General features: G+C 49.7%; 1 protein-coding gene across 4 annotated transcripts in view, besides 2 other annotated features; it reads right to left on the bottom strand.

Moving 5' to 3' along the window:
* Window positions 1-17,990, bottom strand: part of AGFG2 (ArfGAP with FG repeats 2) — a 29,018-nt gene that overhangs the window by 3,335 nt on the left and 7,693 nt on the right. For 2 of the 4 annotated variants that reach the window (XM_005250306.3, XM_047420307.1), the window contains exons 2-12: window positions 15,971-16,064; window positions 14,375-14,490; window positions 11,386-11,539; window positions 10,628-10,793; window positions 9,151-9,276; window positions 8,260-8,292; window positions 2,507-2,627; window positions 2,204-2,292; window positions 1,940-2,023; window positions 924-1,052; window positions 583-668 (exon numbers count right to left, since the gene is read on the bottom strand). In XM_005250306.3, the coding sequence (XP_005250363.1) occupies window positions 583-668; window positions 924-1,052; window positions 1,940-2,023; window positions 2,204-2,292; window positions 2,507-2,627; window positions 8,260-8,292; window positions 9,151-9,276; window positions 10,628-10,793; window positions 11,386-11,539; window positions 14,375-14,490; window positions 15,971-16,064 (1,198 nt within the window). Of the gene's footprint in view, window positions 1-582; window positions 669-923; window positions 1,053-1,939; window positions 2,024-2,203; window positions 2,293-2,506; window positions 2,628-8,259; window positions 8,293-9,150; window positions 9,277-10,627; window positions 10,794-11,385; window positions 11,540-14,374; window positions 14,501-15,970; window positions 16,065-17,990 lie in introns of those variants that run through there. The other 2 variants (NM_006076.5, XM_047420308.1) reach the window with 2 other exon arrangements.
* Window positions 4,782-4,831: an enhancer, noted in NCBI's record as "active region_26372". NCBI's record gives its function as "activates an Ori minimal core promoter by ATAC-STARR-seq in GM12878 lymphoblastoid cells {active_cell/tissue: GM12878}" and the evidence as "EXISTENCE:reporter gene assay evidence [ECO:0000049][PMID:35858748]".
* Window positions 5,102-5,151: an enhancer, noted in NCBI's record as "active region_26371". NCBI's record gives its function as "activates an Ori minimal core promoter by ATAC-STARR-seq in GM12878 lymphoblastoid cells {active_cell/tissue: GM12878}" and the evidence as "EXISTENCE:reporter gene assay evidence [ECO:0000049][PMID:35858748]".

Here is a 17,990-nt window from a genome sequence, read left to right as displayed (position 1 = left end):
GAAGCTTAGAAGAAAGGCAGCCAGGAGTCCTTTCTCCTGAAAAATCGCTATGCTGAGGGCAGTGGGAAAGTGAGGGAGAAAAGGCCAGGCACGGTAGCTCATGCCTGTAATCCCAGCCCTTTGGCAGGCCAAGGTGGGCTGATCACCTGAGGTCAGGAGTTCAAGACCAGCCTGGCCAACACGGGAAAACCCTATCTCTACTAAAAATACAAAAATTAGCCATGTGCGGTGGTGCACACCTGTAGTCCCTGCTACTTGGGAGGCTGAGGCAGGAGAATTGCTTGAACTCAGGAGGTAGAGGTTGCGGTGAGCTGAGATTGGGCCTGGGAGACAGAGTGAGGCTGTCTCAAAAAAAAAAAAAAAAGGAAAGTGAGGGAGAAGGGAGCCAAGGGCAGGGCTGGAACAGCATGGGAGATGCCAGTGCCCAGAAGAGCTGAGGCCCAAGCTCAGCCCTGGCTTGGACAACGCAGACCTTCACGAGGAAGGGGCACAGGGGCCACCTCACATCAGCCTCTTCTGGAAGGATTGTCCCAGAGGGAAAGCCCACGAGCCCTACCACAGCACCCCTGCTGGCACACTCACCATGAAGGGGTTGGTGGAGATCCCAGCTGGCTGGCTCAGTGGCCTCTGCCCCAACTTGGCTGATCCTAAGTCCCCGAAGGAAGAGCCTAGGGGGCGAGAGCAGTCACTCAGCTGACACCAGCCTGCCTTCCTGCAGGCGGACAGCAAGGGGGGCCCTCCTAAACTGGGGGAGTAAGGGAACAGAGCAGTGGAAGTACCCGGGCGGGTCTGGTGCTTCCCTGGTCCCCCCTGCTGGTCAGAAAGGGCACTGCATGGGCTCTGATGAGGTCGGAGGAACAACTAACTGATCTCTATGCAGAGATGGGATGGGGTGAAAGGGTTTGTCCATCTACAGCTCTTACCATTCTGCTGCTGAACAAGCGGGGTCTGCGGGGGGAACAGCGGTGCTGGGAAGGAGCTGGCAAAGGCCCCAGTGGGTGGCACTGCCTGGGGGAAGCCAGGCCCAGCACTGCTCATCCCAAAGCCGGGCCCTATGGAGTGAAAGACGGGAGGCTCAGGTGAACTTCTGGAAGGTGGGCTGGAGAACTGTTTTTCCTAAGTCCCTCCAAGATGGGAAAATGGGATATAGTTTTTTCCTGACATGAGGAACGAGGGACCCAGCCATGGAACTCTTCTGCTTCTCACACCACCAAACAACCCTGCCCTCTCCCTGCCCGGGGGTACGTGGCAGGGAGGGCATGGTAGTTCCAGGCACGGGCGCGGTGCAGGACTGGGCTAGCCTCCCACTAAACTGCAAAAACAGCACAAACTTCTAACGCTGTCTGTGCTTCAGTTCTCATCTCTAAAATGGGGACAGTCCGTCTCATAGGGCTACTGTGAAGATCAAATCAGGGCCACGAAGCCCTCAGCACTGGGCCCACCACACAGCTCTTCTGTGTTTGCTCTTATTCCTCTCTCCCCAGCCTCAAGGCTTCAGCCAGCATGAGTCTGAGGGGAGAGCAGCAGAGGCTGGGGAGGGCCAGGGTGAGAGAAGACAACAGGCCTGGAGTTGATGGAAGCAGGGAACAGCGTGAGTGTTTCAGGTGGCTTAAGCTTCGGGACACAGAAGGGACTGGGGCTGGGTGCCCAAAGGGACACTGCTGAGGGCTGGAGACAGGAGAATCGCTGCCACTGTCAGTCAACTCTAAAACAGTCTTCAGTGCGGTCTCCGGTAAGTAGCCACCTGTGTGCTTCTAATTCTAAAATCTGGCTCTGTGACCTGGGTGCTAGGTGGCCTGGCACCGTGTGGGCAGGGGAAGAACCAGGCTGTCTGCTTCTCCTGACAGCGTGAGACAAAGGGTTAAGGGAGAGGCTGCAGGGTAATGTGTGCCTTGGAAGTCTCAGATGGTCAGGACAAGGGACCATGCTGGAGGCTTACCTGGCGCCAAGCCATTGGGCTGGAACGGGTTGGTGGAAGGCAGCGGGGACTGGGCGGCGGGAGCTGTGAAAGGGTTAGTGAAGGCTGCCCAGGTGGAATGGGGAGCGGCAGGAAAGAGAGAGATGGTTACTTTTTTTCTCACGTGCTTCATCCTGTGATGCCTGAGCATTCCTCTCAATCTCTCCCCTTCCCACCCTGTCCAGAGTCCTTAGACTCCTCCTGGCCTCAGGTCCCCTCCCCTGGGTCTCCACAGGCAGGACTCACCTCCAAAGGCCAGCCCTGTGCTGCTGCCGCCGCCGCCGCCCATCGTGACAGACTGGAGCGGGGGGACCTGGCCAGCCATCCCGAAGAGGCTACAACACGGGGAGAGAGAAGTCATACACAGCTGCCAGGGCCAATCAAACCTGAGCAAGGGGCCAGGAGATGCCAACCCTGCTCTCCAGGGTGAGTAAGGGAGAGGAGGGGAGGGGAGAACTGCCAGGAGATGCCGATGGGGCTGGGAGGAACATGGCCAGGCTTCGGGCGGCTCTCCTGCCCTACAGCAGACTGCCCACTGTCTGTACCTACCTGCTAGGAACACCTGCAGCGGGCACCCCGGGTCCCAGGAAGCTGCCCACGTCTGCGAGGCTGTTTGGCTGACTGGCGGGTGCCAGGGGAGTGGCACCAAATGGAGTCCCCTGGCTGCTCCCTGGGCAGTTGTGGAAAATACAACAGGGAGAGCTGAGGTAAGACAGGGCGGGAGGGGCAGGAGAGCAGATGGAGGTGGTGGTGGTGATGGATTGGAGTCATGGCATGACAGGTGCCTGCTGGGTTCTCTGAGGCAGCCCATTTTCTCAGGGACCACCCAGTTCAGGAGGTCTTGTCTCCCACCAAGAGTTCTGGGCAAGGTGACAGCCCAGCCCTTCTCCGTGTCCCCTGCGCTCAAAGCTGCGCTGCGGAGAGGAAAGCAGCTCGTCCCCAGGTCAGGCTGTCCTCCTCCTGCTCCAGTTTGGCTTTCATGTCTCACTTTTCCCTCAAGAGATGGAAAAGCCTGTCCTTTCCTCAAGCCCGCATTTCCATTTATCAGAACATGGCAGGGAGGGGCAGGCAGAGGCACCATGGAGGACAGCAAGTCCCATCACACTCAGGAGGCTCCTGGCCTGTGCAGCCTCCAGCTATCAGCACTGTCCCTTCCCCATTTAGCCGCTGCTTCTCGGGAGGCCGCCCCAGTGCCCTGAGCCTGGAGGCACTGTTCATGGGGCCAGCCCCGCTGCGGGGTTCTCCTGCCCTGCCTCTTCTTCAGAGCCAAAAAGAAAAAGCACAGAGGGCAAGGCCCACATGGAAATCTTACAAAACAGCTGAGGGCCAAGAGTCCTGGAAATTCCAAGCAATCTTGTCTCAGGGGAAGAGGCTGAGTCCCTGTCATTTTAAGAAAGCCTCCTGTCTGCACATCAAAGTCTCGTCTCTATCTTGGGACCCTATCGACCACACTGGGCTGCTGTGAATGTAAAAGGAGGGTCCAGATGGAAAGAGGCTTTATTGACAGGACGCGGCAGTTCATGCCTGTAATCCCAATACTTTCAGAGGCCAAGGCGAGCAGATTACTTGAGGTCAGGAGTTCGAGACCACCCTTGCCAACATGGTGAAACCCTGTCTCTACTAAAAATACAAAAATTAGCCAGGCATGGTGGCAGGTGCTTGTAATCCCAGCTACTTCGGAGGCTGAAGCAGGAGAATCACTTGAACCCGGGAAGTGGAGGTTGCAGTGAGCTAGGATCACACCATTGCACTCCAGCCTGGGCAATAAGAGCGAAACTCCGTCTCAAAAAAAAAAAAAAAAGGGAGATCTGGCCAGGTGTGGTGGCTCATGCCTGTAATCCTAGCACTTTGGGAGGCCGAGGAGGGCGGATCACGAGGTCAGGAGATCAAGACCAACCTGGCTGACACGGTGAAACCCCGTCTCTACTAAAAATACAAAAAAAAAAAAAATTAGCCAGGCATGGTGGCGGGTGCCTGTAGTTCCAACTACTCAGGAGGCTGAGGCAGGAGAATGGCGTGAACCCGGGAGGTGGAGTTTGCAGTGAGCCGAGATCATATCACTGCACTCCAGCCTGGGCGACAGAGTGAGACTCCGTCTCAAAAAAAAAAAAAAAAAAAAAGGGAGATCTTCCACATGCCAGGCACTATGCATAAATAACAGCGACCCGGGCCCTAAATGGGTGAAGCTGAGAATCTAGTAGGGAAGACGAAGTGCCCAGTGCCTACCTGCTGCCAGGTCCTGAAGCCCCGCTCCCTCTCACTGAGTGTCGGCACTTGTAAGACAGTGCTCTCCTTTGCCACCTCCTTCCTAAATGCCTGGGCTTTCTAGATGAATGAGTGCTGGCTGCCAGCTTCCTCCTGGGCAAGGCTACAATGCCACTGTGCTTACTTGGTCATCAATCCTTTCTAATCCACAGGATGCAAGACAGGCTAGAAAGCCACCTGGGTGGGGCCAGGCCCAGTGGCTCACACCTGTAATCCCAGCACTTTGGGAGGCTGAGGCAAGCAGATCGCTTGAGGTCAGGAGTTTAAGACAAGCCTGGCCAACATGGCAAAACCCTGTCTCTACTAAAAGCACAAAAATAAGCTGGGCGTGGTGGTGCATACCTGTAATCCCAACTACACGGGAGGCTGAGGCACCAGAATCACTTGAACCTGGAAGAGGAAGATTGCAGTGAGCCAAGATTGAGCCACTGCACTCCAGCCTGGGCGACAGGGCAAGACTGTTTCCAAAAAAAAAAAAAAGCCAGCAGCATGGTGTTGGATCCTCTACTGACTCTCCCAGCCGAGGCCTTTCCCTGCCTGCCTGCCTCCAAGTACAGTATGTGGAATTTCCACGCAAGCACGGCTCCCTTTCCTCGGATGGCTGACTCTTTGTGCTGCTGTGGTCCTGCATGTTCCAGGAGCTTCACCCAGTGAGGACCAGGCTGGGAGAGAGGCTGCAGGCCATGCTGTGCCTCCCTGTGGACACTAGGGGGCAGAACCATCCCTAGCCCAGGCAGGGTTGGCCCTTTGCACAGAGGGTGCATTCTCACAAAGGAGGCGGTGGCCCAAGAAACACCTGCACTCCTGTTTGCTTTTCATTTCATGCACTTTTTTTTTTTTTTTTTGAGACAGGGTCTCATTCCAATTGCCCAGGCTGGAGTGCAGTGGCATGATCTCAGCTCACTGCAGCCTCGACCTTCAGGGCTCAGCTGATTCTCCCACCTTAGCCTCCTGAGTAGCTGGGACTACAGGCACGCACCACTATGGCCAGCTAATTATTTGTATTTTTGGTAGAAATGAAGTTTTGCCATGTTGCCCAGGCTGGTCTCAAACTCCTGAGCTCAGGTGATCTGCCCACCTCAGCCTCCCCAAGTGATGGGATTACAGGCATGAGCCACCACACCCGGCCTTCATGCGCTTCTTATACCACGCAGCTAGATTTCTACCCTGCCTTATCACAGTTTGAGGGAGAGAAGCAGTTTTGAAAACCCCTCTCTCCATACTCCCCCTCAGAAATATAAAAATAAAAGCAGGTTTGTCAGAAGAGACACCCACCTCTCAAAATCTCCTCTCTCAGTTCACACCCAACAGCTAAGTCACACTCACGGGAACACCTGCATGATCATGGTGTAGTGGGAAGCGGTTCTGCCAATTATCAGCATTAGATCTGGGCCAAGTTGAGCCAGTTTCCTGCAAAGGGAAGCTCTTTCCTTCCTCATGGACATAATGCATGAAGGCACCCAACAATGGCAGGATCCTCGGAAATGTTCCTTGGCTCTGGGTTTGGCTGTAGATTGACTGTTTTTGTTTTGTTTGAGACAGAGTCTTGCTCTGTCACCCAGAGTGCAGTGGCGCAATCTCAGCTCACTGCTACCTCAGCCTCCCGGGTTCAAGCAATCTTCCTGCCTCAGCCTCCCCAGTAGCTGGGACTACAGTCACGCACCACCATGCCTGGCTAATTTTTGTATTTTGGTAGAGAGGGGTTTCACCATGTAGGCCAGGCTGGTTTCAAACTTCTGACCTCAAATGATGCACCCCACTCAGCCTCCCAAAGTGCCGGGATTACAGGTATGAGCCACTGCGCCCAGTGACTGACTGCTTTTTGAGACAGCCAGATAGTGGACAAAAGGTTTAATGCTTGGGACATCCGTGGAGCTGAGCCCTTCCTTCTCTCTGAGTCTGCCCCAAAAACTGTCTTTACGGTGAAACCCTGTCTCTACTAAAAATACAAAAAATTAGCCAGGTGTGGTGGCGGGTGCCTGTGGCCCCAGCTACTCAGGAGGCTGAGGCAGGAGAATAGCGTGAACCCGAGAGGCGGAGTTTGCAGTGAGCCGAGATTGTGCCACTACACCCCAGCCTGGGTGACAGAGTGAGACTCCGTCTAAAAAAAAAAAAAAACAAAAACAAAAACAAAAAAAACTCTGTCTTTAGAGCAATCAATTGTACTGGGAAGGCATTTCAGAAGGGACGCATCTATAACAACTTTATATAGGCTGTTTCCTCGAGTGCTCCCATTCCTAGGAGCACACCTTTCTTACTAAATCGAATATTCCTGCACCAATGTACAATTCCTGCCAACAGCGCACAAGAAGGTCATTTTCCCCCACATAATACTGGCCATTATCAATCTAAAAATTTTGCCAACATGATGTGCAAAACTATCTTATCCTAGTTTGCATTTCTCTGATTAATTAGGTTGAGGATATTTTCTTTTGTTTTTTTGTTTTTCGAGACAAAGTCTCGCTCTTGTCGCCCAGGCTGGAGCGCAACAGCACGATGTCTGCTCACTGCAACCTCCGCCTCCCGGGTTCAAGTGATTCTCCTGCCTCAGCCTCCCAAGTAGCTGCTATTACAGGCGCCTGCCACCATGCCCGGCTAATATTTGTATTTTTAGCAGAGACAGGGTTTCACCATATCGGCAAGGCTGGTCTTGAACTCCTGACCTCAGGTGATCCACCTGCCTCAGCTTCCCAAACTGCTGGGATTATAGGCATGAGCCACCGCGCCTGGCCTATTTTCATATTTTTTTTTCTGGGTGTTACCTGCTTATATGTCTTGTCCATTATTATATTTTCATATTCACAGGAATTTTAAAAATACTTTATGGATACTAATTTCCATCTGTTTTCCATGTTGTATCTTCTCTCCATCTGTTTCATACCTTTAAGCTTTGTTTGTGTCATCTTTTATCATACAGAATGTGACCTATGGCCAGGCATAGTGGCCCATGCCTATAATCCCAGAACTTTGGGAGGCCAAGGCAGGCGGATCACTTGAGGTCAGGAGATTGAGACCGGCCTAGCCAACATGGTGAAACCCCGTCTCTACTAAAAATACAAAAATTAGCCGGGCATGGTGGCATGCGCCTGTAATCCTGCTACTCAGGAGGCTGAGGCAGGAGAATCGCTTGAATGAGATCACGCCATTGCACTCCAGCCTGGGCAGCAGAGTAAGACTCTGTCTCAAAAAACACACAAACAACAAAACAACAACAAAAACCAAAATGTGACCTATGTGATTTGTCTTTGTTAGAATTTATGGAGATTTTGTTTCCTATAGTTTATTTCTTACTTGTCTATTAGTCATGTGGGAAAGCATATTATAGTCTCCTAGTCCTTTGGCTTATTAAATTCTGATTGTGTCTAATAGTTTTTGCTTCGTGAATCTCATGGGTATGCGGTCAGTTATTTTAAGTACATGATTTTGAGAACCTCTTTGTGAATTTTAACTTTTTTTTTTTTTTTTGAGACAAGAGTCTTACTCTGTCACTCAGGCTGGAGTGCAGTGGCAGGATCTCGGCTCGCTGCAGCCTCTGTCTCCCAGGTTCAAGTGATTCTCCTGCCTCAGTCCCCTGAGTAGCTGGGATTACAGGTGCCTGCCACCATGCCCAGCTAATTTTTGTATTTTGAGTAGAGACGGTGTTTCACCATGTTGGCCAGGCTTATGTCAAACTCCTGACCTCAGGTGATCTGCCCACCTGGGCCTCCCAAAGTGCTGGCATCACAGATGTGAGCCACCACGCCCAGCCAACTTTTATCAATATAAAATGTTTCTTCTTATAGCCCTCCAAAACGATAAAATAAAAACAAAAGCAGCTAATCAGCTCACAGTGGCACAGTGAGAAGGCTGTGGGCAGAGCATGAGTCAAGAAGTCTGGGCTCTGGTCTCAGCTTGGTCGCTCTGTGGCCTGCATGACTAGGGAAATTGCTTAACTGCCTTATCTGTCAAATGGCCAAATTTTAAGGGTTCCTTCCAGCCCTCAAAACTCTATGATCAGAGGCACTTGGGTAGGCTCTGGGGTGGGGATAATAACTTACCAAAGCTGTAACTTTCAGTTAGCATCCGACTGGCTGGCAGTGAGGGTGGAGAAGAGAAGGGTGGGTAGAGGAAGGGAGAAAGAAAGAGTGTATGTCACTGGCTTTTCCCCAGACATCTGAGCCTGACGGCGAGCACTGCAGCTGCCCTCCCATGTGTCCAGGATGTCCAATGGCAGAAGGCACCCAAAGGCTATGAAGACTCAATGTGTAGAGCTTAGGAAGGAGCAGAATGCTTTAAGAAGGCCTGAAGAGTCTCTTGCAATGGCTAAATAACATAGTTTATTTGGTTTTGTTTGTTCGTTCGTTTGTTTTGAGATGGGGTCTCACTCTGTCACCCAGACTGGAGTGCAATGGCACAATAATCACTCACTACAGCCTCAAACTCCTGGGCTCAAGCGATCCTCCCACCTCGGCCTCCCAAAGTGTTAGGATTGCAGGCGTGAGCCATTGTGGCTGGCAGCAACATAGAGTTTACAGGCCTTTGGTCTTAGAGGGATGGATGAGGACTTCTGGAGACTACCTTGACCCTTGACCCTTTGGGACAGCGTACTATGCAGACAAGAGCACCTTAGAGAAAAAGTCACGTCCATTTTCAATTTTTCTAGGACTCAGGTCTTCCATACTTCCTAGTGAAAAGTTTCCTAGTGTATAACCCACACAGCTCCTGCTGCAATCTTAGTCATTTTCCTTTCATGAAAAAGCAGAACAGTAGAGCCCCCTCTCCCTGACAAGAATGTGTCAGACACGCTCATCCTCTCCTGGAGCTGCTTCTCTTTGTGCTTTGCTGCTTTGAGCAGTTCTTTAGGATAGTGAGGATATGAATGGTGATTTATAGACATGAACAAATGGACACGGTTGGAAGAGAAAGGAAGCCAGTGGGGCAGAGTTTACCTGCAGGAGTTGGCTGGGCCTGGAACGAGGCTTGACCAGCTGGAGGGAGGCTTCCAAACACAGAAGAGCTGGGGCCACTGCTAAAGGCATCAAAGTTGGCAAAGCCTCCTTGGGAAGGTGTCTGGCCTGTAGGTGGAAGAAACATAAAGGTTATATAGAAAATTGTCGGGTGTGGTAGCTCACGCCTGTAATTCCAGCACTTTGGGAGGCCGAGGTGGGCAGATCACTTGAGGTCAGAAGTTCAAGACCAGCCTGGTCAACATGGTGAAATCTGTCTCTACTAAAAATATAAAAATTAGCTGGGCGTGGTGGTACATGCCTGTAATCCCAGCTACCTTGGAGGCTGAGGCATGAGAATTGCTTAAACCTGGGAGGTGGAGCTAGCAGTGAGCCGAGATTGTGCCACTCTACTCTAGCCTGGGTGACAGAATGAGACTCTGACTCAAAAAAAAAAAAAAAAAAAAAAAAAAAACCACACACACACAACAGAAAAAGAAAAGAAAATGTATATGCCTATCCATGTAATATAGCTACTAATTCTAAAGGCCAAAGGCCACTCTTATGGGACATCTGCCTTTCCACAGGGTTCTCTTCAGAGGGAAATGGGTGGGGCCTGGGGCCAAGAGCCAGACCCACACAGGGGAACAGGGGCACCCAGGGCCTCCAGGTTCACTCCCTGCCCTCTTCTGTCCTTACTCCATGAGGCATTAACATTTTTGTCAGGGCCTAGTTTGGAGCATGAAAATTTTTTTTCATGGAGGAAGGAGCTTGAATTTTTTTTTTTTTTTTTTTTTTTTTGAGACGGAGTCTCACTCTGTCACCTAGGCTGGAGTCCAGTGATGCAATTGTGATTCACTGCAACCTCCACCTCCTAGGTTCAAGCAATTCTCCTGCCTTAGCCTCCCAAGTAGCTGGGACTACAGGCACATGCCACCACACTTGGCTAATTTTTTTTTTCTTTTTAGTAGAGATGAGGTTTCACCATGTTGGCCAGACTGGTCTTGAACTCCTGACCTCAGGTGATCTGCCCACCTCAGCCTCTCAAATGCTAGGATTACAGGTGTGAGCCACTGTGTCTGGCTTGAAAATTTTTAAAAAGGGAAAACAGATTCTATGCTGCTGAACCCTCTACTGGCTATTGCTGATTTGGGGGAAGAATAATCTTTGGTGAACTGGAACACATGATAATCCCCCTCCTCCCATTTTAACAGAGACAGAAAATAATAAAAAAGGCTATTTCCAGTGTTCTAAAAGGAAGTGCTAGGAGCCCTCAACTATAATGTTTTAGGATCAAACCCCCAAACATAATCCTGGCTGTACTTATTTGACCCCAGTCCTCCCAGCCTCACTGCTTCAGAGTGACCCTCACATTTGTTTGCATGAGAAGATCTAGAGCCATGGTTACCTCCAGGGACTGGATCTCTCATGTTGTAAGCATATACGCTGTAGGGAGGGTCCCATCCCAAAACCCACTTACCCCCAAAGGCAGGGAATGCAGCAAAAGCTGGTGCCATCTGGGGTGCAGCAAAGGGGTCTCCACCGATGTCAGCCAGCAGGTCAGTACTGGCTTTTTTGACAGAGGAGTGGGGAGGTGGCTGAGTGCTCCGGGCCTGGGATGTCCGAGCGTGAGACTGACTGACGGGCTTGGAGGAGAAGGAATGCATACAGCCCTTAGAATCCCAGACATGCCCCAGGCCCTCCTCTGGCTCCCCAGGTTGCCCTCAGATAGGCAGGTAGAGAGAGAAGACAGTGAGTAACTGCCCTCAACCTAGAAGATTCCTGGGCAGGAGCTGCCTTAGCCCCTCTCAGAGCTCATATCATCCTCATCTTCTCAGTACACCTGCTCCAAGAACCACACATTTTACAGCACATGAGCCAAGGTAACCCTGAGATATACAGGAATACTGCCCAATACTGCCCCCAGGGCTGTTACTCCTCAACCTTCCCAGGTATTGGACACCATATTCCAGCCCCTTCTGTGTTTCTTTGATGGAATGCTCAGGTTTGGAGCTGATATTCTGACTTTCCTAAATACCACTTCCTGTTAGGTTCTGACTTCCAAAAGATATGAGGTCCAGAAGTGACAAATACAAGATACAGGTTAACAGCAGAGCCGAGACCCAACTCACAGCTCCTGCACTGTTGTCTGCTAAGTCCGGGGAATCTGATTCAGGAAACTGACACTCCTGTCTCCCAAATCTCAAAAGAAACATGACGAGCAGATCTGAGAGTTACCTGGCTCGAGGTGGAGGCAGCAACTGAGAGAGACGGTGCAGGATCACCCAGAAGTGTCCGAAGGGGCTTCCCTTCTGGGATGGAGCCCTGCACAGGGGTGGAGGCACTGCCTTTGGTATAAGTGGGCCCCTTGACTTGGTCTGGGGGGACATACCTTTGAGAAAGAATAGTTAGGCTGTAAAGAGAGGGATAAAACTTTGGACCACGCTCAGCTGAGATGTTTGGGAAGACACAGGAGTCAAAATCTATGCTCATTTTTCTCTACTGATTCCCTTTTTTGAAGGGAACCGAGCAACTTAGCAAAGTTCTGCCTATCTTGAGCATCCCCTTGAACATCTTTTGGTTTTTTTGAGACAGGGTCTCGCTGTTGCCCAGGGTGGAGTGCAGTGGGGCAATGTTGGCTCAACACAGCCTTAACTACCTAGGCTCAAGTGATTCTCCTGCCTCAGCCTCCCAAGTAGCTGGGACCACAAACAAGTACATGCTACCATGCCTGGCTAATTTTTTAATTATTTGTAGAGAAGAGGTCTCACTATGTTGCCCAGGGTGGTCTCAACCTCTTGGCCTCAGGTGATCCTCCTGCCTTAGCCTCCAAAGTTCTGGGATTACAGGCATGAGCCACCACACCTGGCAAAGGTCCCCCTCTTTTATTTCCTGGGTGTTTCTTCAGACTCCTTCTTCTCAGCTCCATAGAAAAGCTGCCTGCCGCCTCATCCTCTAGGTGCTCACAATCCACACTTCCATCCTGCCAGCTCCTGCCGGGACAATTCCCTTCCACTACAGTGTATGTGGCCCCTACTCTGTAAGTGTCAGCTTAATCCTGAGGACATCCCTAGGAGGGACTCCACAGTGTGGTCTTATCCACATCAATCTCTTTGTTCTCTGCATTCTCTTCTCTACCTCACAGTTACCTCCCAACATGTACACACCCCAGAGATCCCACAAGAAGTGATACCAGGGGAGAGGAAAGGTAAGGGAGAATGGAGATGCTGTTTCCTTCATCAGGAAGACAAAATATAGTTGTCCCATGGTATCCTCAGGGAACTGGTTCCAGGATCCCCCTGACAATTCCATAATCAGAGGACGGGACACTCAAGTCTCTTATATAATATGGTGAAGTATTTGCATCAAATATGTATATCCTCCAATATACTTTAAATCATCTCTAGGTTACTTATAATACCTAATACAATGTAAATGCCATGCAATAGTTGCTATATTGTATTGCTTTTTATTTGTATTATTATTTTTTTTTTGAGACGGAGTTTCACTCTGTCACCCAGGCTAGAGTACAGTGGCACGATCTCAGCTGACTGCAACCACTGCCTCCCGGGTTCAAGCAGTTCTCTGCCTCAGCCTCCTGAGTAGCTCGGATTACAGGTGCCCATGACCATGCCTGGCTAATTTTTTGTATTTTTAGTAGAGACGGGGTTTCACCATCTTGGCCAGGCTAGTCTTGAACTAGTCCTGACCCTGTGATCCACCCGCCTCGGTCTCCCAAAGTGCTGGGATTACAGGCATGAGCCACCACACCTGGCCTTATTTGTATTATTTTTTATTGTTGTATTGTTATTTTTTGTGTTCCCTACTTTTTTTTTTTTTTTTTTTTTTTTTTGAGACAGTCTCTCTCTCTTTGCCCAGGCTGGAGTACAGTGGCATGATCTCAGCTCACTGCAACCTCCGCCTCCTGGGTTCAAGCAATTTTCCTGCCTCAGCCTCCAGAGTAGCTGGGATTACAAGTGTCCACCCCCACACCCAGCTAATTTTTTTTGTATTTTTAGTAGGGACGGGGTTTCACCATGTTGGCCAGGCTAGTCTCGAACTCCTGACCTCAAGTGGTCTGCCCACCTCAGCCTCCCAAAGTGCTGGGATTATAGGCGTGAGCCACCTTGCCTGGCCTATTTTCCCAAATATTTTTGATGTGAGGTTGATTGGATCCATGGTTGCAGAATCTACAGATACAGAGGGCTGACTGTACATATAAATCATGAAACAAGGCCGGGCACGGTGGCTCACGCCTGTAATCCCAGCACTTTGCGAGGCCAAGGCAGGCAGATCATTTGAGCCCAGGAGTTTCAGACCAGCCTGGGCAACGTGGTGAAACCTCATTTCTACAAAAAATATAAAAATTAAGGCCGGGCGCAGTGGCTCACGCCTGTAATCCCAGCACTTTGGGAGCCAAGGTGGGCGGATCACGAGGTCAGGAGATCGAGACCATCCTGGCTAACACGGTGAAACTCCGTCTCTACTAAAAATACAAAAAATTAGCTGGGTGTGGTGGCGGGCGCCTGTAGTCCCACCTACTCGGGAGGCTGAGACAGGAGAATGGCGTGAACCTGGGAGGTGGAACTTGGAGTGAGCCGAGATCACGCCACTGCACTCCAGCCTGGGTGACAGAGCGAGACTCTGTCTCAAAAAAAAAAAAAAAAAGAAATATATATATATATATATATATATATATATATATATAAATTAGCCAGGCATGGTGGCACACACCTGTAGTCCCAGTTACTGGGGAGGATGAGGTAGGAGGATCACCTGAGCTCCAAGAAGCTGAGACTGCAGTAAGCTGTGACTGTGGCACTGCACTCTAGCCTGGGCAACAGAGTGAGACCTTGTCTCAAAAAAAAAAAAAAATCATAAAATGATGGGTTAAAGGAATAAAACTATAGGATGTGTGCTTCCAGCCATCTCTCCCCATACATAAGATCAGCTGAGCTATAAAAATGAACACCCACAGGCCTACCTCCCGACTCCAATCAGTCTACTATCTCTCCAAAAGAGAGGACATAAAATCTGCAGGGTTAGTGACTGAGAACAAGTTGTCCTTTCATGTAGATTTATTTTAGCCGTAACTGAATGTGAGTGGAACAGAATCGACCCAAGTCTAGTCTTTTGTGAGAAGGCCAAATTCAACTCTAGAAACTGGACTGTCAGATGAAGAATGTCTTGAACACGTTTCCATAGCAACCTCTTTCCTACTCCTTACCATCTCTTCTTCTCATATTTTTCCTGGAGAAACTCCTTCACTTTCTGAGGATCCCTGGAATCTGGTACTAAAGATGTCCGAGCATCAAACAGACCCAACCAAATCTTCCGGCAAACCTAAAAGAATGAAGGTGTCAGAGGAGTGGGAGCAGAAAGCAGGAAATACAAAAAATACCACTTCCTTTTTTTTTTTTTTTTTTTTTTTTTGAGACGGAGTCTCGCTCTGTCGCCGGGCTGGAGTGCAGTGGCACGATCTCAGCTCACTGCAACCTCCACCTCCGGGGTTCAAGCAATTCTCCTGCCTCAGTCTCCCAAGTAGCTGAGACTATAGGCATGCGCCACCACGCCCAGCTAATTTTTGTACTTTTAATAGAGATGAGGTTTCACCATGTTGGCCAGGATGGCCTCGATCTCTTGACCTCGTTATCTGCCCACCTCAGCTACCCAAACTGCTGGGATTACAGGCATGAGCCACCGCGCCCAGCCACCACTTCCTATTTATTCATCAGTAAATACATATTGGCTGGATGTGGTGGCTCACACCTGTAATCTCAGCACTTTGAAAGGCCGAGGTGGGTGGATCACTTGAGTACGGGAGTTCAAGAGCAGTCTGGGCAACACAGCGAAACCCACTCTCTAAAAAAATACAAAAATTAGTGGAGCATGGTGGCATGTGCCTATAGTTCGAGCTACTTGGGAGGCTGAGGTGGGAGGATCGTTTGAGCCCAGGAGGTTGAGGTTGCAGTGAGCCAAGATTGCACCATTAAGCTCCAGCCTGGGTGACAGAGCAAGCAAGAGCTTGTCTCTGATAAATAAATAAATAAATAAATAAATAAACAAATATTGAGCATGGACACAGTGCTAGGATCTGGGTCTACCTACAAACCAGATATGATTCCTGTCCTCGCAGAGTTTATAATCCAATGGGGCAGTCATATCTTAGATAAATAAAACTAAAGTTATAATCACATTTTGTGACATGTATTGAAAAAGGAAAATAGAGGGCCATGAGAATTATGGAGAATTAAATTTCACTAAGGGTAGGGTCCAGGACAATTTTCAGAGCTCTGGCTTCCAGGACACCTCCAGAGGCCCTTGAGGATACCCTCTAAGTAAACCAATCACCCATAAGCTGGGGTACTGCTAACGCCAAGGATAGCAACTTCTGATCGGCAGATTTAGCTAGGGAAGGGGTTTAAGTCACTTTCCAGTACAAGATATGCACTTAAATCCAGGTTGTCGAGGCTGAAGGCAGCAGAGCTGGCTCCAGGAAAGCTTCCTCAGAGGGGCTGGCCCAGTCAACTCTGAATGCTCACGCTCTGGAGCTCTGGTCATTCTACCCCTCCATTGCTCAGGTGCCACATCCTACAACGATATTGCTACTTCCCCTGACTCCTGAAAAGGAGGCCTAGACAAACCATGATTTGTATAACAGAATAAAGATTCTGTAAATATACCTAAGGAAAGAAATCATACATATGAAAAAATTAAGAGAAACTCAACCAAAAATAAAACCGTAAGGTTTCCCTACAATCTTGAGGCAAAGCCCCACCTGCAGATAGGTGACCTTCTCACCACTCCATCGGTGGCAGCTCACCTCATTTCCACGGGATTGCAGGAATACTACTTCAGGCTCAGTGAAAGTTGTCATGGAGATTGACTTGACACGATGAGGGGGGTTCAGCCCTCTCCTATGGGAGAGAAACAGGAAGAAAGAGAAGTATAATGCAGTTAGCATGGCAGGCTGTTCATGGGAGGAGGAGGAGGAGGGAGAAAGGGTGAAAGAATAGCATATAAACTAAGCTCAGATAGAACCCCCCCATCTGAAGCTACTTCCTAATTCCAGGAAAGAAGGGAAATATTTGGAATATTTTGGAGATATTAGAAGTCTCCAAAGAGAGGCCAGGCACAGTGACTCACACCTGTAATCCCAGCACTTTAGAAGGCCGAGGCAGGCAGCTCACTTGAGGCCAGGAGTTCGAGACCAGCCTGGCCAATATGGTGAAAACCTGTCTCTACTAAAAATACAAAAATTAGCCGGGCATGGTAGTGCACGCCTGTAATCTCAGCTACTCAGGAGGCTAAGGCACAAGTATCGCTTGAACCTGGGAGGCAGAGGCTACAGTGAGCCAAAATCACCCCACTGCACTCCATCCTGGGCAACAGCAAGACTCTGTCCCCACTCCCACCACCCCCCTCCAACCCCCAAAAAAAAGAATCTCCAAAGAGACAGGGAAGAGAGAGTCAGGAACATCCTGTGATCCCAGTAGTTCTGGAGAGGAAAGGTAGAGCCTGCCCATCCAGAAGCCTCCTCTAGCCTGGCTCAGATCCCAGTAGTTTCAGTGTTCAGCCTGTAGGCCGAGGGGGGTACTTCTGGGAACTCAGACACGTGACCACTTCCCACTTCCTACTTTATCATTGTTTTAGACCTACAGCCCATCCCCAAGGTCCCAGGGCCCACAAAAACACAAATCCTTCAAGCATGAGGGAAGGCAAAAATGAAGGCCCAGTACTATTCTTGATAACACTAACAAAAACAGGATATGGTGACAAAAAACAGTCTCTAGCCCAGCTGGTCCTCCTTGTGTCTACAAAGAAGGGTGGAGTGGTGGTGGGATGGAGAGGGTCCCTCTCTTTCAGGAAGCCATCTCTAGGAAAAGAAATATTTGATTTTCTTATTTCTGTATCTCTCAATAAAGCAGGAAGAAGTCAAGTTCAACCATGAGCTATAAGGCTGGCATGGGCGAGGAATATGTAACCTGTGGCAATGCTTTTGTGCCTCCTCTGTATGTTCTGTTAACTCCCTGGGAATCCAGTTCTGCCTCCAGGAACCCTGTGGAGATTATAAGAGAAGAGAAGGCTTCCTTGTCCCCACTCAACTGGTCTCAGGAGTGTTCTAATACAGGAAACTTGGGGCTAAGCCAGGCAGGGCTTCATAGGTTCCCCTGTCCTTGCACCTTAAGTATTATTCTGGTCTAGGTCTACTACCCTCACTGGATTAAACAAAACTGCCCAAACCAAAACAAGCTAGATCCTGGGACAGGAGGGAAGCAGTCTCAGCAGATGAGGCCTCTTCAGACTTTTACTCTCATGGAAAAAAAAAAAATGGCCAAATCGAGTTGCTCAAATAAAAATCCAGAATAGGGTCCTGGCTGACATCCTCAGGAAGCGCAAAGGGGGAAAAAGAGACAAAAATATTTAACAGATGAAAATCCTGAAAATTCACAAAGAAGGTGGGGAAAACATACATTCACACTAACAGGTGCACACACAGAATCCAAGTGCTCCTGCCAAGTCTGGGAGAACAGCAGCGAGGTGTAAGCAAAAGCAGCGGTGGTGGGGGTGGGGGGCAGGGAGTGGGCGGACTCAGTACAGAGTGAACAGTAAGGGCGGCCACCCTGCGGATGATAAATTACTCATTATGGGATTTTAACAAAGGACAGGACACTGGAGGCTCCAGTTGACGCTGTTTGCAGCAATTCTGCTGCTAGACCTTTAGGTATAAAGGGTCTCAAAAATGCTCTTATAAAAGACAAGCAATATCAAAGAGGACTGATGCCCCCAAGGAAAGATAAGCTCAGGGAAAAACGAAAGCAAGGCTTTGTTACTACATATCA

The sequence above is a fragment of the Homo sapiens genome, chromosome 7 (genome assembly GCF_000001405.40).
Source record: "Homo sapiens chromosome 7, GRCh38.p14 Primary Assembly".
Lineage (NCBI taxonomy): Eukaryota > Metazoa > Chordata > Mammalia > Primates > Hominidae > Homo > Homo sapiens.
Note: the sequence above shows the minus strand (reverse complement) of the source record. Positions and strands in the feature narration are given on the sequence as shown.